The sequence below is a fragment of the Homo sapiens genome, chromosome 4 (assembly GCF_000001405.40).
Source record: "Homo sapiens chromosome 4, GRCh38.p14 Primary Assembly".
In the NCBI taxonomy this organism is placed as follows: domain Eukaryota; kingdom Metazoa; phylum Chordata; class Mammalia; order Primates; family Hominidae; genus Homo; species Homo sapiens.
The window spans coordinates 39,617,369-39,638,472 of record NC_000004.12 but is presented as its reverse complement, the minus strand read 5'-3'; the positions used below and the strand labels follow the sequence as shown (position 1 = coordinate 39,638,472).

The 21,104-nt window shown below is 40.7% G+C and overlaps 1 protein-coding gene and 1 pseudogene across 6 annotated transcripts in view, besides 1 other annotated feature; one reads left to right on the top strand and one right to left on the bottom strand.

The window, feature by feature from the left end:
* SMIM14 (small integral membrane protein 14) overlaps window positions 1–21,104 on the top strand; it is a 92,530-nt gene that overhangs the window by 393 nt on the left and 71,033 nt on the right. For 2 of the 6 annotated variants that reach the window (NM_001317897.2, XM_047449744.1), the window contains exon 1: window positions 11,352–11,489. The exons of the other annotated variants lie outside the window; for them this stretch is intronic. The gene's annotated coding sequence lies outside the window, so the exon portion shown is untranslated. Of the gene's footprint in view, window positions 1–11,351; window positions 11,490–21,104 lie in introns of those variants that run through there. 6 annotated transcript variants of the gene reach the window in all.
* Window positions 12,600–12,679: an enhancer, noted in NCBI's record as "active region_21464". NCBI's record gives its function as "activates an Ori minimal core promoter by ATAC-STARR-seq in GM12878 lymphoblastoid cells {active_cell/tissue: GM12878}" and the evidence as "EXISTENCE:reporter gene assay evidence [ECO:0000049][PMID:35858748]".
* Window positions 17,401–17,461, bottom strand: RNU7-11P (RNA, U7 small nuclear 11 pseudogene; annotated as a pseudogene).

Genomic DNA, 21,104 nt, shown 5'->3' with positions numbered 1-21,104 from the left:
GTAGCCACGGGTGGTTTTATTTTTAGGATCAGATTGTCGACGGGTGGAGGCGTATCATGGAGTAAAAAGAGAGTCGTAGCTGGAAGGAAAAACTCACAAATCCTGAAATCCACACTATCTTGTTTACCGTCTCCCTCAGCCCTTTCTGGGTACGGTGAAGTCACTAGGATGCGTCCTTTGTTGTGATAAGTGAGACGAGAAAGCTGACACCCTGAAAGCGAGAGCTTTTTAGCTCCTATTGTGTCGCGAATTTAAAGGATCCCCTTTTTCTGTTTGCTCAGTAAGTGGAACCAAGGCTGACAGTAAAGAGGTAGCAGCACCCTTTATTGGAACTAATAGTGTGTGATAAACTGGTTACCGGCTCTACCCGAAGTCCCGTGTTGCTGTTTAAAGGCAGACTTCACCAAAGTGGCTGTTTATATGTGCCAGGATTTTAGCCGAGATGGTTTGCTAGCTGTAGAGAGTCGGTAGGATGTTTTCAGTTGCCCCAGTTGGCAAAACCGAGGCTGTGGCCTTAATAGAATGTGTTACTTTTGCATCGAGAGAGTCGGATGAGCTTCACACACGTAATAGCTACATTTGCAGAAGAGACCTTCCAGTTTGTGTGTGTTATTGTCAGAAACAGCAGCTGTACATATTATAACTTGGAAAGCGTAAGACCTTCCAGGTGTTGGAGTGTTGGGACGCTTAGGAGGCATTCTTGCTGCCCAGCGCTGTGGAGGTTGCAGGAGGCTTTGCATTCCCTTCCACTTAGGGTGGCTGGCCGCGCAGATTCCTTTAGTGTAGCCTGCTCCGAACTTGCCGCTCTCCGCGGCCGTCGACAGCACTGCGACCAGAAAACCAAACCTTTTTGTCCTAACTTTTTTTTTTTTTCCAACGTGGTGTTTAAGAACACCGCTTCACCCCCGAGAACTCATTAATTGAGGTGTTTCAGTGGTTAACAGCAAGAAAGAACAACAGTACGTGATAGTTAATTGCTCCTTATCAAACCCAGGAAGAGTTATGAGTTTAGATTATTTCCTTGAAGGGTATGTCCTTGTGGTATAACATGAACCCCTTAACGAATCTTTTCTCCAGTGTTTGCCGTTGAGATATTTTTTCTTACTACTGTAGTTGGAATCCTTCTGATTTAGAAGAAGGAAAGATTTCTTGAAGTTCTTTTTCAGCTTTTTACCTTTTATGCTAGCCTATAACTAATATTTTTGGTTATACGAAATACTTTGTGTAATAGAGAAGATGTTGATAAAAGCAGATAGGAAAAAAAAATCAATAATCCTGCCACCCAAAGATCACCAAAATGTTAGTTTATACCCTTCTAAACTACTTTTTTGCATTTATATATTTTATACAAATATGGTATCATACCACATATGCTTTTCAGTACATAACCTGCTTTTTCACATTCTAGTACTTCTTTTTTGAGTAATAATTTAAATTTTTCAGACATGGACTTTGGACCTTAAATTTTAGAGCGTATTCACTACACAGTAGTGCCCCCTTATCCGTGGTTTCACTTTCAGGGGTTTCCCGAGTTTCAGTTTCTGTGGTCAACCGCAGTTTGAAAATACAATCATATTTTCAGAGACCACATTCACATAACTTTTATTATAGTATATTGTTATAACTGTTCTATTATTAACTATTGTCAGTCTCTTACTGTGCCTAATTTATAAATTGAATTTTATCGTAGGTGTGTATAGGAAAAAAACAGTCCATATATAGGGTTCTGTACTATATGGGCTTTAGGCATCCACTGGGGGGGGGTTGTTTTATAATTTTTTAATTTTAAAATTTAATAGAGACGAGATCTCACTGTGTTGTCCAGGCTGGTCTCAAACTCCTAAGCTCAAGTGATCTTCTGGCCTCAGCCTCCCAAAATGCTAGGATTACAGGGATGCTGAGACACCAGGTCCAGCCCACTGGAGTTTCTTTGAATGTATCCCTTGTGGATAATGGGGGACTTCTATGTTTGGCAAACCATAATTATTAAAAGCATGGTTTTAAAAGATTTCCTCACAAATCTCTATGATAATGTAACATTTAAGAAATTAATATGCATTGTGTGGCAAAGTAAGACCTCACTTGTTTGGCTCTTGGGAAAGAAAGCACAGCCTGAGGATAATATGAAAGTTTAAGTAGTTTTTGCTACTCAGTGGTTTGATTCGGGTAAAGATTTAGTTCTGTTCCATAGTTATACTCTATTCCAAATGCTGATCAGATGTTCAGGCCCCAGGCAGTAAGGTCCTGGAAGATTTTAACTTTACACGTCACACTTTTTTTTTTTTTTTTTTTTTTTTTTGGGAGATGGAGTCTTGCTCTATTGTACAGGCTGGAGTGCAGTGGTGGATCTCAGCTCACTGCAACCTCTGCCTCCCGGGTTCAAGTGATTCTCCAGCCTTAGCCTCCTGAGTAGCTGGGATTACAGGTGCACACCATCACGCCCGACTAATTTTTGTATTTTTAGTAGAGACGGGGTTTCACCATGTTGGCCAGGCTGGTGTCAAACTCCTGACCTCAAGTGATCTGCCCACCTTGGCCGCCCACGGTGCTGGGATTACATGCGTGAGCCACTTCACCTGGCCCACATCACACTTAATATGCATTGAGTCTTGGTGTGTGCCCATTTAGTCCAGTGCTTTACCAGTTGGCACCAAAAGAGCCTGCTATGGAAGGAAACGTCCTCTTCATCTCAACTTCAGAGGATAAGTACATGCCATGAACTATCCTAAATCTGCTAATAACCTATTTTGAGTTTGAGCCTCATAAACTTACCTAAAATCTTTAAATCTCTATTTTCATTTTGCATCTCTTGGATGATTAGTCCTAGATGTTTACTACTTATTACATAATCTAGTTTCTTTTTCTTTGATTTGGCTTATAGTATTCAATATGTATTCTAAATTTGTCCACTTCTTCCCATCCCTACTGCCATCAGCTTTGCCAGGCTATCTTCATCTCTTACCTGATCTGTTGCAGCAACTCCTGGTCTCCCTGCTTCCACTTTGGCTTTTTATTATGCATTTCCCTTACCAGCCTAAGAGATCCTTTAAAATGTAAATTACCTTGACACCCCCTTGTTGAAAGTTTTCCATCCATATTCAGAATAAAATCCAAACTCTACCAAAGCTTGTCAGGTGCTACATGTTTCAGCACTGCCTTCCTCTCTTATCTTACCTTGTATCCTTCTACTTAGTTCAGTACCCTGGAGCCTGGCCATGTGAGTTTCTTCCTGTATTCTAATCCCACTTGCATTTTTGTCCCTGGAACTTGCCAAGCTGGTTCTTGCTGTAGGGCCTTTGCATTTGCTGAACGCTGGGGCTTCAGTACTCTTCTCCCAGATCTTGCTGTGGTTGATACCATTGTGTTATTCAGGTGTTAGGTCAGATGTTGCCTCTTCAAGGAGACTGACCAATCTCTCCCTTGTATTTTATTTTCTTCACAGCATTTATCAATATATGGAATTTTAAAAAAATGTTCCGTCTCCTACCCTGGAAATTAAGCTCTGTGAATATGGAACCTTGTCTGTCCTTTTCACTGCATAGTAGGTACTCAGTGAATGTTGATTGAATAAATGAACTTAGTGAACATGTCTGTATTCCTCTTGAACATACTGTCTATTGTAGGCCATTTTTTTTTCCCATGGAAAAGTCCTAATTTTCAGCCTCTTTATTGGGCAGTGCCTTATTCTCTTTGGTGTTTGGGTCAGAGTACACTTATATTCTACTTTAGACCTGTGGAATTAATTTCTGTGAGAAATGGGTTCTTAGAATCTGTATTTTCAATAAATCTGTCAGGTGATTTTAATGCATATCAAACTTTGAGAATCTCTCAATGTTTTAGTGGCTTTTCCTTGGAAGATTGCTTCTTTATAGTAGTAATGATAGCTACCATTTTTTGGGAACACTACTTTATATGTCAAGTATTATGCTAAAAATTACTGTTACATGTTTTCATTTAACTGCAAAGCAACTCAGATATGTAGGTATCATACAAATGAAGACAATGAGACACAGTAAGTGGCAGAAACTTGAATTTGAAACCCAAATCTTTTTAATCACTGTACCCTACTGCTTCTGAACTACAGAGTTTAGAATTGTGTTCAGTACTTTAAGAGAGGCCATGTTTTTGTTCAGGACAGGATAGTGTTTTCTGTCCCTTTTCCAATCCTGTCCTTAATGAAGTCCGTTGTTTTGTTGGTCTTTTTGCCTGAAGTTGCACAGACAGATGACCTTAAAAAACATTCTGCGGCTGGGCGCGGTGGCTCATGCCTGTAATCCCAGCACTTTGGGAAGCCGAGGCCGGTGGATCACGAGGTCGAGAGATTGAGACCATCCTGACCAACGTGGTGAAATCCCGTCTCTACTAAAAATACAAAAATTAGCTGGGTGTGGTCATGCGCGCCTGTAATCCCAGCTACTTGGGAGGCTGAGGCAGGAGAATCACTTGAACTCGGAAGGTGGAGGTTGCAGTGAGCCATTGTGCCACTGCACTCCAGCCTTGCGACAGAGCGAGACTCCGTCTCAAAACAATAAACAAACAAAAAACATTCTGCAAAGACTCCTAGGTCTTGCATTGTTGTATTGAGTGCTGAGAGCCTACCAGGCTTCAAGTAAATTTGTAGCATTTTCTTCTTCCTTTTGTATTACCTGCTCATTCCCCACACCCAAAACCTATTACTTTGTATTCGTTGATACAATCATCAGAGTTCTTCCTACATTTTCTCCTTTGATTTGTGTTTTACTATTTGAATTTAGTGGCGTGATCATGGCTCACTGCAGCCTCAACCTTCTGGGCTCATGCGATTCTCCCACCTCTGCCTCCTGAGTAGCTAGGACCACAGGTCCATACTACCACACTAATTTTTTTTTGTTTGTTTTCTGTAGAGACAGGCTCAGGTTGGTATGGAATTCCTGGGCTCAAATGATCCTTCTGCCTTGACCTCCCAAAGTGCTGGGATTACAGGCATGAACCACTGCATCCAAAGATATTTTAAATAAACAGATTTATTTGAAGTTTTCCTTTAATATTGGGCATGAATGTAGTTTCCAGTTTTTCACAATTATAAATAATATTATGGTGAACCATGGCCTTAAATAGTTAACCTAAAAACTGAATAATTACAGCAGCCAGTCTAATTACAAATAGAAGCTATATTAAAGACTTCTTAATTTTTTTTTTTGAAACAGAGTCTCACTTTGTTGCCCAGACTGGAGTGCAGTGGGGTGATCTCGGCTCACTGTAACCTCTGCCTCCCGGGTTCAAGCAATTCTCCTGCCTCAGCCTCCTGAGTAGCTGGGATTACAGACGTGCGCCACCATGCCCAGCTAATTTTTGTATATTTAGTAGAGACAGAGTTTCACCATGTTGGCCAGGCTGGTCTCGAACTCCTGACCTTAGGTGATCCACCTGTCTGGGCCTCCCAAAGTGCTAGGATTACAGGCGTGAGCCACTGCACCCAGCTGAGACTTCTTAAATTATTTTAATCATAATTCAACAAGTATATATAGCATATATATATATATACATACTTGCATATGCTTAGAAAATGTTACATGAAGTTTTAAAATATTTTTTTAATTTATTTATTTTTGGTATTTTTTGAATTCTAAAATCTTCCTGAGACATAAAGGTTTTTCTTTTTCTTTTGTGTGTGTGTGTGTGTGTGTGTGTGTGTGTGTGTGTGTGTGTGTGTGTGTGACGGGAGTCTCACTCTGTCATCCAAGTTGAAGTGCAGTGGGGCGATCTCGGCTCATTGCAGCCTCCACCTCCCAGGCTCAAGCTACCAACCCACCTCAGCCTCCCTAGTAGCTGAGACCACGCCTGGCTAATTTTTGTATTTTTTGTAGAGTTGGGGTTTTGCAATGTTGCCCAGGCTGGTCTCGAACTCCTGAGCTCATGCAGTCCACCTGGCTTCGCCTCCCAAAGTGCTGGGATTACAGGTGTGAGCCATTGCACCTGGTCAGACATGAAGGTTTTTTTTTTTTTTTTTTTTTTGAGACGGAGTCTCGCTCTGTCAGTAGGCTGGAGTGCAGTGGCCCGATCTCTGCTCACTGCAACCTCTGCCTCCCGGGTTCAAGTGATTCTCCAGCCTCAGCCTCCTGAGTAGCTGAGATTACAGGCGCGTGCCACCATGCCCAGCTAATTTTTGTATTTTTAGTAGAGACGGGGTTTCACCATGTTGACCAGGATGGTCTTGATCTCTTGACCGCCTGCCTTGGCCTCCCAAAGTGCTGGGATTACAGGCATGAGTCACCGTGCCCAGCTGACGTGAAGATTTTTAATAGAAGCTATCTCTGAGGAGAGGAAAGTACCTGCATTTTTCCATTTTTTTTTAACTTTTGGTATTTAAATTTTAAATTATAAATGCATATTTTATTTTTAAAGAATTAACTCTTTGGAAAAGTACATTTTTCTAAACTAAACCAATTTTTAGGTGTATAGTAGGGCTTACATATGTATTTGATAACATTTACGACCTCTGTTCTTTTGTTTTGGAGAAAGTTACCTTCTTATTGCTTATTTTCATATTGAATTTTCATTTCCTTTTTTTTTTTTTAAATTTAGGCCAAAGCACAGATGTGTCTCAGCTTTGTAAAAATACAGAATGACAGAATGAAGCTGGTTTATGCCTGACTGCACTCATTGACAAGTATTACAAGTGCAGAGCTTTCAAAATTTAATAGCTAATAAAAGTATTTCAAATTGAATTAGGGATGCAGTAAGCATCTTCCTGGTATATGCACCAGACTTAGAAGTCAGTGTTCTGGCTGCTATCATCTTTTATCTTTTAACATATTTATTTTTTTTTTTTTTTGAGACGGAGTCTCGCTCTGTGGCCCAGGCTAGAGTGCAGTGGCGCAATGTCGGCTCACTGCAAGCTCCGCTTCCCGGGTTCATGCCATTCTCCTGCCTCAGCCTCCCGAGTAGCTGGGACTACAGGTACCTGCCACCATGCCCGGCTAATTTTTTTGTATTTTTAGTAGAGACGGAGTTTCACCATGTTAGCCAGGATGGTCTCGATCTCCTGACCTCGTGATCCGCCCGCCTTGGCCTCCCAAAGTGCTGGGATTATAGGCATGAGCCACTGCACCCGGCCACAACATAGTTTTTAAAAACAAGTTTGCTCTTTTTTTTTTTTTTTGAGATGGAGTCTCACTCTGTCACCCGGGCTAGAGTGCAGTGGCACGATCTCAGCTCACTGCAACCTCCACCTCCCGAGTTCAAGCGATTCTTGTGCCTCAACTTCCTGAGTAGTTGGGATTACAGGCACCTGCCACCATGCCCGGCTAATTTTTGTATTTTTAATAGGGACGGGGTTTCACTCTGTTGGCCAGGCTGGTGTCGAACTCCTGACCTCAAGTGATCTGCCCACCTCAGCCTCCCAAAGTCCTGGGATTACAGCTACCATGCCCTGGCAAAAACAAGTTTGCTTTTTATACAATATATATTTTGCTGCTTTGTTACTCTTGGGAAAGGTAATGTAGAAGAAACTGACTTGCTTGAAATTTTGAACAGACTTTTAAAATCTGTTTGTTTATTTTATTTGTTAATCCTTGCTTGCTTGCTTGCTTTTCTTTCTTTCCTTCTTTCTTTTTTTTTTTTTTTGACAGGGTTTTGCTCTTGTTGCCCATGCTGGAGTGCAGTGGCACAGAGCATAGTCTCGGCTCACTGCAACCTCCACCTCCTGGGTTCAAGCAATTCTCCTGCCTCAGCCTCCCAAGTAGCTGGGACTACAGGCACCCACCACCATGCTCAGCTAATTTTTGTATTTTTAGTAGAGATGGGGTTTCACCATATTGGCCAGGCTGGTCTTGAGCTCCAGGCCTCAGGTGATTCGCCTGCCTTGGCTTCCCAAAGTGCTGGGATTACAGGTGTGAGCCACCGCGCCTGGCCCAATAATTGCTTTCTTTATCACAGTAGTTCTAAGCATTTTTCCCAGTATGACTAATGATGTTTATGCGCATCTTTGTGCACATGTCATCTCAGCTATGATATGGAAGAAAGAGGCTGTGAGTTACTTAGTTTGGAGAGCAGTAGCCATAGTCCGCTTCTTTCATTTTTATTTTAATTAGAAACAGGGTCTCTGTCACACAGGTTGGAGTGCAGTGGTGTGATCATAGCTCACGGTAGCCTTGAACTCCTGGGCTCAAGTTATCCTCCCTTCTCAGCCTTCTGAGTAGCTGGGACTACTACATAAGAAGGCACATGCTAGCATGCCTGGCTAATTATTAAAGTTTTTTGTAGAGACGGTTTCACCACCTTGGCAGGCTGGTCTCAAACTCCTAGGCTCAAGCAATTCTTCTGCCTCAGCCTGTCAGAATTGGTTTTACAGGTGTGAGCCACTGCGCTCAGCACTCTGCTTCTTTCTGCTCAGAGAAATCATATAGACAAGCATGTGAATGAAATATTAAGGAAAAGTCTTGATTCTGTTGTAATTTATTTAGATAACATTCATCTTTAACAAACTGGTACCATTGCTTGTAATATACCTCTCAAGTTTAGAACACACCAGTATTTTGTAATACAGCTGTTAAAAACTGCTTTCTGGCCAGGTATGGTGGCTCATGCCTGTAATCCCAGCAATTTGGAAGGCTGAGGTGGGGAGATCACCTGAGCCCAGGAGTTCAAGACCTACCTGGGCAACACATCGAGACCCCCTCTCTCTACAAAAAAGTAAAAAAATTGGCTGAGTGTGATGGCATGCACCTGTGGGCTCAGCTGCTCCGGAGCCTGAGGTGGGAGGATTGCTTGAGCTGGGGAGGCTGAGGCTGCAGGGAGCTGTGATCACGCCACTGCACTCCAGCCTGGGCAACAGAGACCCTATCTCAAAACAAAAACCTACTGCTTGCTTAACATTTATAAGCGAAGCCATTGTGGTGGCACACACCTGTAGTCCTAGCTGCTTGGGGGGTTGAGGTGGGAAGATGGCTTGAGCTCAGGAGGTCAAGGATGCAGTGAGCCATGATTACACCACTGCACTACAGCCTGGGCAATAGAGACCCTGTCTCCAAAAAAAAAAAAAATCATTTATAAGTTACTTGTATGCACTATTATGTGGGATCAACATAGTATGGAATATATATATATATGTATCTTTTTTTTTTTTTTTTTTGAGACAGAGTCTTGCTTTGTCACCCAGGCTGGAGTGCAGTGGCACGATCTCGGCTTGCTGCAACCTCTGCTTCCTGGGTTCAAGCGATTCTCCTGCCTCAGCCTCCCAAGTAGCTGGGATTACAGATGTGCACTACCACGCCCAGCTGATTTTTGTATTTTTAGTAGATATGGGTTTCCACCATGTTAGCCGGGCTGGTCTCGAACTCCTGACCTCAGGTGATCCACCCAGCTTGGCCTCCCAAAGTGCTGGGATTACAGGCCTGGCCTGGAATTTTTATATTTTCTGTTAAATTTTTCTGTTTCTGATTTATGGAAAACATTTTCCTGGTCGGGCACAGTGGCTCACGCCTGTAATCCCAGCACTTTGAGAGGCTGAGGCAGGTGGATCATCTGAAGTAAGGAGTTCGAGACCAGCCTGTCCAACATGGCAAAACTCCGTCTCTACTAACCATATAAAAACTAGCTGGGTGTGATGGCACGCACCTGTAATCCCAGATACTTGGGAGGGTGAGGCAGGAGAATCACTTGGACCCAGGAGGTGGAGGTTGCAGTGAGCTGAGAATGTGCTGCTGCACTCCAGCCTGGGTGACAGAGGGAGACTCCGGCTCAAAAAAAGAAAAAAGAAAAAAAAAAAAAAAGAAAAACATTTTCCTGAGTTTTTGTTTGTTTGTTTGTTTGAGACGGAGTCTCGCCTTGTCACCCAGGCTGGAGTGCAGTAGTGTGATCTCGTCTCACTGCAACCTCCTCCTACCAGGTTCAAGCGATTCTCCTGCCTCAGCCTCCCAAGTTGCTGACTTGGGACTACGCGTGTGCCACTATGCCCGGCTAATTTTTTTAAAAATATTTTTAGTAGAGACGGGGTTTCACCATGTTGGCCCGGCTGGTCTTGATTTCCTGACCTCGTGATCTGCCCGTCTCAGCCTCCCAAAGTGCTGGGATTACAGGCGTGAGCCACCGCGCCTGGTCACATTTTCCTGATTTTAAAATGTTAAAATTTAGAATATGACTAGTAAATATTCTTGGGTAGAATTTTTTTTCTTTTTTTTTTTTTTGTGATGGAGTCTCACTCTGTTGCCCTGGCTGGAGTGCAATGGCTTGGTGTTGGCTCACTGCAACGTCTGCCTCCCAGGTTCAAGCAGTTCTCCTGCCTCAGCCTCCAGAGTAGCTGGGTGTACAGGCATGTGCCGCCACACCTGGCTAATTTTTGTATTTTTAGTCGAGGCGGCGTTTCACCATGTTGGCCAGGCTGGTCTTGAATTCCTGACCTCGTAGTCCTCCTGCCTTGGCCCCGCAAAGTGCTGGGATTATAGGCGTGAGCCCCCACGCCTAGCCTTTTTTTTAGGATTAAAAAATTTTCTCTCCATGACACAGGAGGTCCTGATGACATGTGCCCTCTTGGGTGGAAATTTTAGAAAACGTTTTCAAATTATGAAACTTATGGTTATGATATTGAATACAAACAAAGATGATTTAATTGAAAAGCTTTCCTTTGTTTGACTCTTTATGATCAGTTTTACCCCTGGACCTTGACCAGGCACAGAGAGAATTCTTAGGATTGTACAAGAGTAAACTGCGGCCAGGAAAGGACAGGACATTAGTAGGTGAGAGACCAAGATTAAGAACAGAAGACTTCTTTCTTTTCTTTCCCTTTTATGCAGATGAGTGATAACTTTGGCCCCAGTGGAACACACACACTCCAGAGCACTATACAGAGAACTTGGGCTAAGGGTTAAAGATACTTTGGTCTTCAACTGACCCCAAGTTTTAAAACTTTTTCAGTTTATTAAGTACTGTTACAAATTCTCACTTGATCTTTGCGCAACTGTTTAAAATGAATAGTTTCAATTATCACTCTTGTTTTATAGATAAACTGAAGTCACAACAAGGCTAAGTGATTTATCTATTAATATTTCTCAGTACTGCCTTAAGTTTTTTGTCTAAGGATGTTCTTTCTGCTGTCCCATGATGTTTTGGCAAGTGTTGTCTAAAGTGATCCTAGAATAGGAGTCAGATAGAGGTAAAGAAAAAAGGGTCGCCAAGGAAAGAGAAGGTAATGTTTAAGACAGTCCTTTGGTCTGAATGCTTGTGTTCCCCACAATTCATATTTGAAATCCTAACCCCCAGTGTGATAGTATTAGGAGGAGGTGGGCCTTTGGGTAGTGATTAAGTCATGAGGGTGGAGCCATCATCATGAGGAGTAGTGCCCTTATAAAAGAGGGCTCAGAGAGCTGCTTGCCCTCTTCCACCATAGTAGGACACAGTGAGAAGGCACCATCTACCAACCAGAGAGTGGGTCCTCAGCAGACACTGAATCTACCAGTGCCTTGATCTTGGACTTCCTAGCCTCCAGAACCGTGAGAAGTAAATTTCTGTTTGTAAGTTACCCAGTCTGTGTTATTTTGTTTAAGCATCCCAATAGACTAAGGCACCTGAGAAAATAGGGTCACATTTAATGAGAATTTCTAGAAAAATGGTGGCCACCTGGGGGATGAATCTTAACAGAATCATGTGTTGCAGAGAAATGGAAACATTAAGGAGATGAGGAAATTCTCTCTGACCTTGAAGAGTTAAGCCTAGTAGTGATGGAATAGAAGGTCAAGGAGAAAAGCGTTCTCCTTTCCTTGAGTTTTGAGCTTTCTCCAAAGTAGTGATCACAAAGGTAATTTGTAACATTTATTTAGTTGTTAATTATCTATTGGTATGCAATTATTTAATTTAAATTAACAGTTAACTTGATTGCAAGCTCTTGATGGTAAAAGCTACCTTTGTTTCTTCTGTATCCTCCTCTGAACTCTCTTGCTGGTTACTTTGTCCCCTGAGAATTTGTTAGATACATCCTTTTCAAGAAAGGAGAAGTGAGAGAAGACAGGGCGTTTGAATCCCACCTCCTGTGCTGTGTGACTGGGCAAATTACTGAAGCTTTCAGAGCCTCAGTTCTTTCCTCTTTCCAATTCAAGTGATTCTTAATTGAGTGGGCGAGAACTGCTGTATCTCCAAAGTTGTAATAGTGCCACTTGTGAAGTTGTGATTTGTTGAATATAAATAAATGAAGACTTGGTATACTCTAATCCAGTGGTCCCCAACCTTTTTTGCACCAGGGACCATTTTCATAGAAGACAGTTTTTTCAGTGGGCTGGGGCAGGGGTGGGGGGCGTGGGGAGAATGGTTTTGGGATGAAGCTATTCTACCTCAGATCATCAGACATTATTTTTTCATAAGGATCGTGCAGCCTAGATCCCTCGCATGCAGTCGCTCCAGTGAGAATCTAATGCCACCGCTGATCTGATAGAAGGCAGAGCTCAGGTGGTAATGCTCAGGTGGTAATGCTTGCTGGCCCGCACCTCACCTCCTTCTGCTGTGCTGCCAGGTTCCTAACAGGCCACAGACCAGTACCAGTCCATGGCCTGGAGGCTGGGGACCCCTGCACTAATCTATACCTGATCTATACAGTGGCCTCTGGCCATGCTGACGTAGTTGCTTCTGTATATTCCTGTTGTATTCTGTGGAAAATAAACTTCTGTTGTCCTTTCTTGCCTGCTGTAGTCTCTTCCTTTTGAATAGTATGCCCTCTGAAAAGGGTGTCTTTAAGCTTTCACTTTCTTGTAAAATTATAAGAATTTCAGGGATTGGCTGGGTGCAGTGGCTCACGCCTGTCATCCCAGCACTTTGGGAGACTGATCACCAGAGGTCAGGAGTTTGAGACCAGCCTGACCAACATGGTGAAACCCCGTCTCTACTAAAAGTACAAAAATTAGTTGGATGTGGTGGCGCGTGCCTGTAGTGCCAATTACTCGAGAGATTAAGGCAGAGAATCACTGGAACCCGGGAGGTGGAGGTTGCAGTGAGTCTAGATTGCGCCACTGCACTCCAGCCTGGGCAACAGAGCAAGACTCCGTCTCAAAAAAGAAAAAAAAAATTGTAATGATGAGTTTCAGGGAGTTTTAATCCTGCGTGAGTTTAGATCACAGAGAATTGTGACATCAAGGGCATGTAATGGGGTTTATTTCAACATTTAAATTTTGTATGTCTTTAACTTCTCCCAGGTATAGCTTTAGAATAATTTTTAGCAAACATTAATTGACCAATTTGAACTTGAGTCTGCATCCTTTTCTTTTTCTTTCTTTCTTTTTTTTTTTTTTTTGAGATGATGTCTCACCCTGTTGCCCAGACTGGAGTGCAATGGCATGATCTCAGCTCACTGCAACCTCCACCTCCTAGGGTCAAGCAGTTCTCCTGCCTCAGCCTCCCGAGTAGCTGGGATTACAGTCATGCACCACCACACCCAGCTAACTTTTGTCTTTTTTTTTTGTATCTTTAGTAGAGATGGGGTTTCATCTTGTTGGCCAGGCTGGTCTCAAACTCCTGACCTCATGATCTGCCTGCCTCGGCCTTCCAAAGTGCTGGGATTATAGGTGTGAGCCACCATGCCCAGCCAAGTCTGCATCCTTTTCTTGCCTACTTCCCATCAGAGAAGCAAATGTAGTTTAAGAGAAAAGTATTTCGTTACTAAGAACGAATAGGAAGTTTTTTTTTTTTTTTTTTCGAGATGGTGTCTTGCTCTGTTGTCCAGGCTGGAGTGTGATCTCAGCTCAATGCAACCTCCGCCTCCTAGGTTCAAGCAATTCTTCTGCCTCAGCCTCCCAAGTAGCTGGGATTACAGGGACACACCACCACGCCCAGCTAATTTTTGTATTTTTAGTAGAGATGGGGTTTCACCATGTTGGCCAGGCTGGTCTTGAACTCCTGACCTCAGGTGATCCGCCTGCCTCAGCCTCCCAAAATGCTGGAATGACAGGCATGAGCCACTGCGCCTGGCCAAACTAATAGGAAGTTATTTGATAGTTATCTAATTTCTGTACTGCTCTAAAGTTGTCTTTGTAAGGGTGAAAGAAACATAACTAGCATGATTGGTCATATCTGGCAGATGGGGAATGAGTCCTGCTCAGGATTTTACAATGTGACTTCCTGTATAAGATCTGTCATATACTAGATGTGCGATCATAGTGAAATTACTACCTTAGCTGGGGCTATGTTCCTCATTTTAAAAACAGAAAATTTTCCTGCTTTGATTTTTATCAGAAGGGCTTTTGTTAAGATGTGAAAGTAGTAAAGCTACATTAGAACATAAACTAGGTGTGGTAATATTTGAGAGCCATTTGTGTTAAAAGAATAACCAGTTTTGAGTATTTTGTAAAAAGTATTGTGTATGAGTAGGTTTGAACACCTCATTATACTGAGACTTTGGGTAATCTGATAAAAGTCATCCCAACTACTTATTGATGCTTTTTAAGATAAAAATGCATAGAATGCTTCCTCTGGCCTCCCATTTCATTGACCAGTATCTCTGTTTTCTGTTATGTAAAAACTAATTGCATACGTTCTATTTTTTTAAACTTTCTTTTTTACTGACCAGACAACAGTTATGAATAATTGCATACATTCTAAATTGTTACTGTGCATTTTCTTCTTGCTGAGGGTTTTTATTTTTTCATTTTTTCAGATGGAGTCTTGCTCTGTCACCCAAGCTGGAGTGCAGTGGTGCAATCTCTGCTCACTGCAACCTCTGCCTCCTGGGTTCAAGTGATTCTCCTGCCTCAGCCTCCCAAGTAGCAGAGACTGCAGGCATGCACCACCACACCCGGCTAATTTTTTTGTATTTTTAGTAGAGATGGAGTTTCACCATGTTGGCCAGGCTGGTGTTGAACTCTTGGCCTCAGGTGATCCAACCTTCTTGGCCTCCCAAAGTGCTGGGATTACAGGCATGAGCCACCGCGCCCGGCCTATTTTTAACATGGAAAGAATTATGATATTGTTCTTCATCACTGTGAAGATTTGGCTGGCTATGTGAAAAGTAATTTTATTATAAATCATATTCTTTAAAATCACAATAAAAGAATTTTCATATTCTGACCTTGAATTAGCCAATGTTATCCCTGCCTTCTCAGGAAGAGCTCTGTTTGCATGGAGTCGGGGAGAGGGGAAGAGATAATTGTTTGTTTTTCTATAAAAATGTATTTTTAAAAAACCTTTTATGTATTAATAATTTGAAATTTTTAGCACTAAAAGGTAGAATGGTGTAATGAATCTCTGTGGACCCATCACTTGCCTTCAACAGTTAAACTCATGGTGGTTTTGTTTCATCCATACCTCTCCCCCCTTGGCAGGTTTATTTTAAACTAGACCCCAGGTATTGTATCACTTTAACTGAAAATACTTAGTGAGATTCCTAAGAGATAAAGACTCTTTTTAGATGTGATCGTTGACATTGTACGTATGTAACAATGTCATTTAAACAGTGTTCAAAGTTCCTGATAGTTCATAAATGTCCTTTTACTAGGTTGGTTTGAATCAGGATTGGTATCTCTTAATTTTGTTTTAATCTGTAACCGTTCCCCTGCCATCTCTTAAGATTTATTTATTTTTTGCCATTTATTTGTTGAAGAAACTGAGTGACCTTCCCTGGATTTAGCTGCTGCATCCAAAAATTTTTTTCCTGATTATAAAAGTTAATATGTAACCATTATATGATATTTGAAAACTGTACAAAGTGAAAAGTAAAATCCTGCCACCCAGAGATAACAGATGTTAAAGTTTTATGTTTTCTTTCAGCCTTTTCATTTGTATGTGTTTTCCTATGCCTTTAAAAACGAACATTTGCAGGCCAGGCGTGGTGACTCATGCCTGTAATCCCAACACTTGGGGAGGCAGAGGCGGCGGATCACTTGAGGTCAGGAGTTTCAGACGAGCCTGGCCAACATGCTGAAACCCTGTCTCTACTAAAAATAAAAAAATTAGCTGGGTGTGGTGGCACACACCTGTAATCCCAGCTACTTGGGAGGCTGGGGCAGGAGAATCACTTGAATCCGGGAGGTGGAGGTTGCGGTGAGCCGAGACCGTGCCACTGCACTCCAGCCTGGGCAAAAAAGCGAGACTCCGTCTCAAAAAATAAATAAAAATAAAATAAAACATGCATTTGTGGCCGGGCGCGGTGGCTCACGCCTGTAATCCCAGCACTTTGGGAGGCCAAGTTGGGGGGATCATGAGGTCAGGAGATCGAGACCATCCTGGCTAACACAGTGAAACCCCGTCTCTACTAAAAATACAAAAATTAGCTGGGCACGATGGCGGGTGCCTGTAGTCCCAGCTACTCGGGAGGCTGAGGCAGGAGAATGGCGTGAACCCGGGAGGCGGAGCTTGCAGTGAACCGAGATCGTGCCACTGCACTCCAGCCTGGGCAACAGTGCAAGACTCCGTCTCAAAAAAACAAAAAACAAAAAACAAAAAAGTGCATTTGCTATGTTTATTTTTATGCCCTTTTAAATATACTTTTAACATTATGTTGTGATCATTTCTCCATATTATTAAGAAAGAAAATGAGGCCGAGTGCGGTGGCTCATTCGTGTAATCCCAGCACTTTGGGAGGCTGAGGCAGGAAGATGGCTGGAGCCTGGGAGTTCGAGACTAGCCTGAGAAACATAATGAGACCCCGTCTCTACTTAAAAAAAAAAAAAGCCAAGCATGATAACATGCGCCTCCGTAGTCCCAGCCACTCGGGATGGGATCACTTGAGCCTGGGAGGTCAAGGATGCAGTGAGTCATGATTGCTCTGCTGCATGCCAGCCTGGGTGACAGAGCAAGAGCCTTTCTCAAAAAAAAAAAAAAAAAAAAAAAAGAAACGTTTGGCTGTATAATACTTTACAGTGTATATCACAATTTAAATATTTCTTTTTAGCTGGATATTTAGATCATCCCCATTTTTCACTACTTTAAAGCCATGATAACCATCTTTGTATATAAACCTTTGTATTTCAGATTATTTTCCTTGATAGTCTTAGAACTGGAATTATTCAGAGGGCATGCACGTTTTTTTAACATCTGGATTTGTATTGCCAGAAAAGTTATCATAGTTTGTAATTTCAAATGCAGTGTATAAATGGTTCCATCTTACTAAAGAATTGGTTTGCATATGCTCTGTATTTTTAAAATGTCTTTGCCAGCTATATTAGTGGAATGTTTGGAGTTTTTTTCCCCTAATTCTTTTGCTCTTTTAATTTTACTTGGGATTTTTTTTAAATGCACAGTCTTATGTCCTAAATTTGATATTTTTCATTGTATTTATCTTTTTTGTTTTCTCTCTGTACTTTAATGGATGGAAAGTTTGTATGTATCTGTAGGGGGTCCTTCCCTGAAGATCAAATAAATGTTAACCTTACTTATCTGGTAGAATTGCTGATTTTTTTCCTCCTTAACTGCTAGTAGGTTTTTTCTTTTTGGAATTTTTTCTGGGGAGCTTTCCAGCAAAAACCGGAAAGCCTGCTAGACAAATTCTAAAAGAGCTGTAACACTGTAGGTTTTCCTAGCACTGAATTTATTGAAATTGCAATCCCTTCCCCATTTATTTGTGATTCCAATTTTGATATATAAATATAAATAGATATATTTTGAGGTGAATTTGTTCAGAAAATTCTATAATCTGATTTGCTGGTTGTAATTATGTATGTGTGTGTGTGTGTTTGCACACCATTTTTGAAAAACTTGTTTATTCCTGCCAGGACCAAAGAAGACATTTGGCCTTAAAGATTTAACACAGGGTCATCAGGACTTACTCACCACTTCCCACATAAAAGTGAATTGTTGTAGAAACAGTAATAGTAAAATATCGTTTTCATTACATTCCTATAGTACATAGCAGCTCACAAGCACTTTTATATTCAGCATATTCCAGCCTGGGCACAATGGCTCACGCCTATAATCCCAGCACTTTGGGAGGCTGAGGCCAGAGGATCAGCCTGGCCTTGCTATGTCGACCAACCTGGGCAACATAGCAAGACCTCTGTCTCTACAAAAAAAATTATTTTTATTTTTAAATAATTTTTTTTTTGATACAGTCTATCTCTCTCGCCCAGGATGGAGTGCAGTGGCGCGATCTCCGGCTCACTGCAGGCTCCACCTCCCAGGTTCACGCCATTCTCCTGCCTCAGCCTCCCGAGTAGCTGGGACTACAGGCGCCCGCCACCATGCCTGGCTAATTTTTTGTATTTTTAGTAGAGACGGGGTTTCAGCGTGTTAGGCAGGGTGGTCTCCATCTCCTGACCTCGTGATCCGCCCGCCTCGGTCTCCCAAAGTGCTGGGATTACAGGCGTGAGCCACAGCGCCCATCCGAATTTTTTTTTTTTTTTCTTAATAGAGATGGGATCTTGCTGTTTCCCAGACCAGTCTTGAACTCTTGGGCTCAAGCAGTCCTCCCATCTCAGCCTCCCAAAGTGCTGGGATTACAGGCATGAGCTACCATGCCCAGCAAAAATATTTTTTTAAGTAGTTGGGTGTGGTGGCCTGTGCCTCTAGTCCCAGCTCCTCAGGAGGCTGACATGGGATGATCACTTGAGCCATGAGTTTGAGGCTGCAGTGAGCTATGATTGCCATTGCACTCTAGCGTGGGCCACAGAGCGTGAGTCCCTATCTTGCTCTTAAAAAAAAAAAAATATATATATATATATAAATATATATAAATATATATATACATTTATATATACATATAAATATTTTTGAGAAAATTGAGATATATATAAATATATATAATAAATTATTTATTGATATATATATAATAAATTATATTTATTGATATATATAATTATATTTATTGATATATAGAATAAATTATATTTATTGATATATAGAATAAATTATATTTATTGATATATAGAATAAATTATATTTATTGATATATAGAATAAATTATATTTATTGATATATAGAATAAATTATATTTATTGATATATAGAATAAATTATATTTATTGATATATAGAATAAATTATATTTATTGATATAGAATAAATTATATTTATTGATATAGAATAAATTATATTTATTGATATAGAATAAATTATATTTATTGATATAGAATAAATTATATTTATTGATATAGAATAAATTATATTTATTGATATAGAATAAATTATATTTATTGATATATAGAATAAATTATATTTATTGATATATAGAATAAATTATATTTATTGATATATAGAATAAATTATATTTATTGATATATAGAATAAATTATATTTATTGATATATAGAATAAATTATATTTATTGATATATAGAATAAATTATATTTATTGATATATAGAATAAATTATATTTATTGATATATAGAATAAATTAAATTATATTTATTGGTATATATAATAAATTAAATTATAATTATCTCAATTTTCTCATATATATTTAATTATATCTCAATTTTCTCTTGAACTGAACATGCTAAATTATCTAAACCCTGTCTTACCCTCTATCATCACTTAATTTGTTGGTTAGAGATAGTATATCACATATATTCCAAAGACAGGCTTGTGGAATATAAAGGATCTATCAGCCAGGAGAGGTGAGTATGTGGTGTATATGCATCCCTGCTGCCATTTTATGCCCAAATCTCTACTCCATAATGCTGCTTCCTACTGAGTCTATTCACACTCACTTTCTTCTCAACAGGGGGCTTGACACCCCTGCAAGGTCCAACATGCAGGTTGAAAAAAGTGTGCAGTCCTTTCTGTAAATTACCAGACCTAAAAAATATAAAAGCTATTATGCAATGGTACTTGCTGCTTGGGAAGTGTAGTCAGTGAGAGTGGGTAAAAGAGAATGAGAATGAGTGAGTTTCATTACACTGGGCTTTGGTTTTTTTTTTTTGTTTTTTTTTTTTTTTGAGATGGAGTCTCGCTCTGTCGCCCAGGCTGGAGTGCAGTGGTGCGATCTCAATTCACTGCAACCTCTGCCTCCTGGGTTCAAGCAAGTCTCTGCCTCAGCCTCCTGAGTAGCTGGGATTACAGGTGCCCACCAACCACCAAGCCTGGCTAATTTTTGTATTTTTAATAGAGATGGGGTTTCACCATCTTGGCCAGGCTGATCTTGAACTCCTGACCTCGTGACCCACCCACCTCGGCCTCCCAATACTCTGGGGCTTTCAAGTGCAGTTCCTGGAGCCCCATTTTAATTAGACTGAGGTTATCTTGAGAGTGGTGATCACATCTTGCTCATCGTTTTTCCCATGCCTGTTACAGTGTTCAGTATCAAGGTGTTCAAATGAGTTGGGCTCGATTGAATGCATTTTCCTTTTTCTTTATGGTGTAAGTTCTCCTCAGCAGCCCCTGGTGATAATTCCTCTCTTGATGTTTTGGGGGCCTTTTCTGTATTTGCCAAGACTTGAGTAGATGTCACTGATAGTTTAGGTTTCTATGCTGGCTTCACTTGTTATTTCTGAAGAAGTGGGCTTGCTTTGGCAGGAGTAATATTCTCTCTTACTTCTCTCCTCTCTCTACCATTTTTTCCGTTTGTCATCTCAACTATGGTAAGCATCCAGATGATGTCTTTGATTGCAGATGCACCTTGGGAGAAGATAAAAAACAAAACTAGTTTAGGCATTGTCATTTTCCTGATTTTTTTCCGTCTTATATGTTTTTAAAATGAATTTCCATTTGCTTTTATTTTAAACTTAATTTAACAAAATACTATACCAACATTAATAGTTTATGGTAGATACACTGTTTTAGATACACTGTTTCATTGTTTAGATTCTCTTCCGCTGTTAAAGCTTCCACCAGAGAGTGAGTAGGGCAGGGAAGAGTAAACTTTGAAAACTGATTTTTGCAAACAATGTTTGCCTCAGATTTAGGTGAAAGGCTGACTTTAGAAGTATCCATGATAGGGCCTGTTTACATACTTTTTAATATCTTCATTGATGATGGGATATGGTTAATTTTGTTACATTTACCTATGGAGTTACAATCCCTTTTATGCTATATTTAACCAACAAATTCAGTGATGATAGAGGGTAAGACAGGGTTTAAACAATTTAGCATATTCAGTTCGAGTAAATTGAGATATAATTATTTTTCCCTAGAGCTAATGGCTATGGTTGAGAGAACAAGAAACTTACTGTAAGATTATTCTTTTACAAAGTTAATACTCTTTGAATAGTTAAAATATT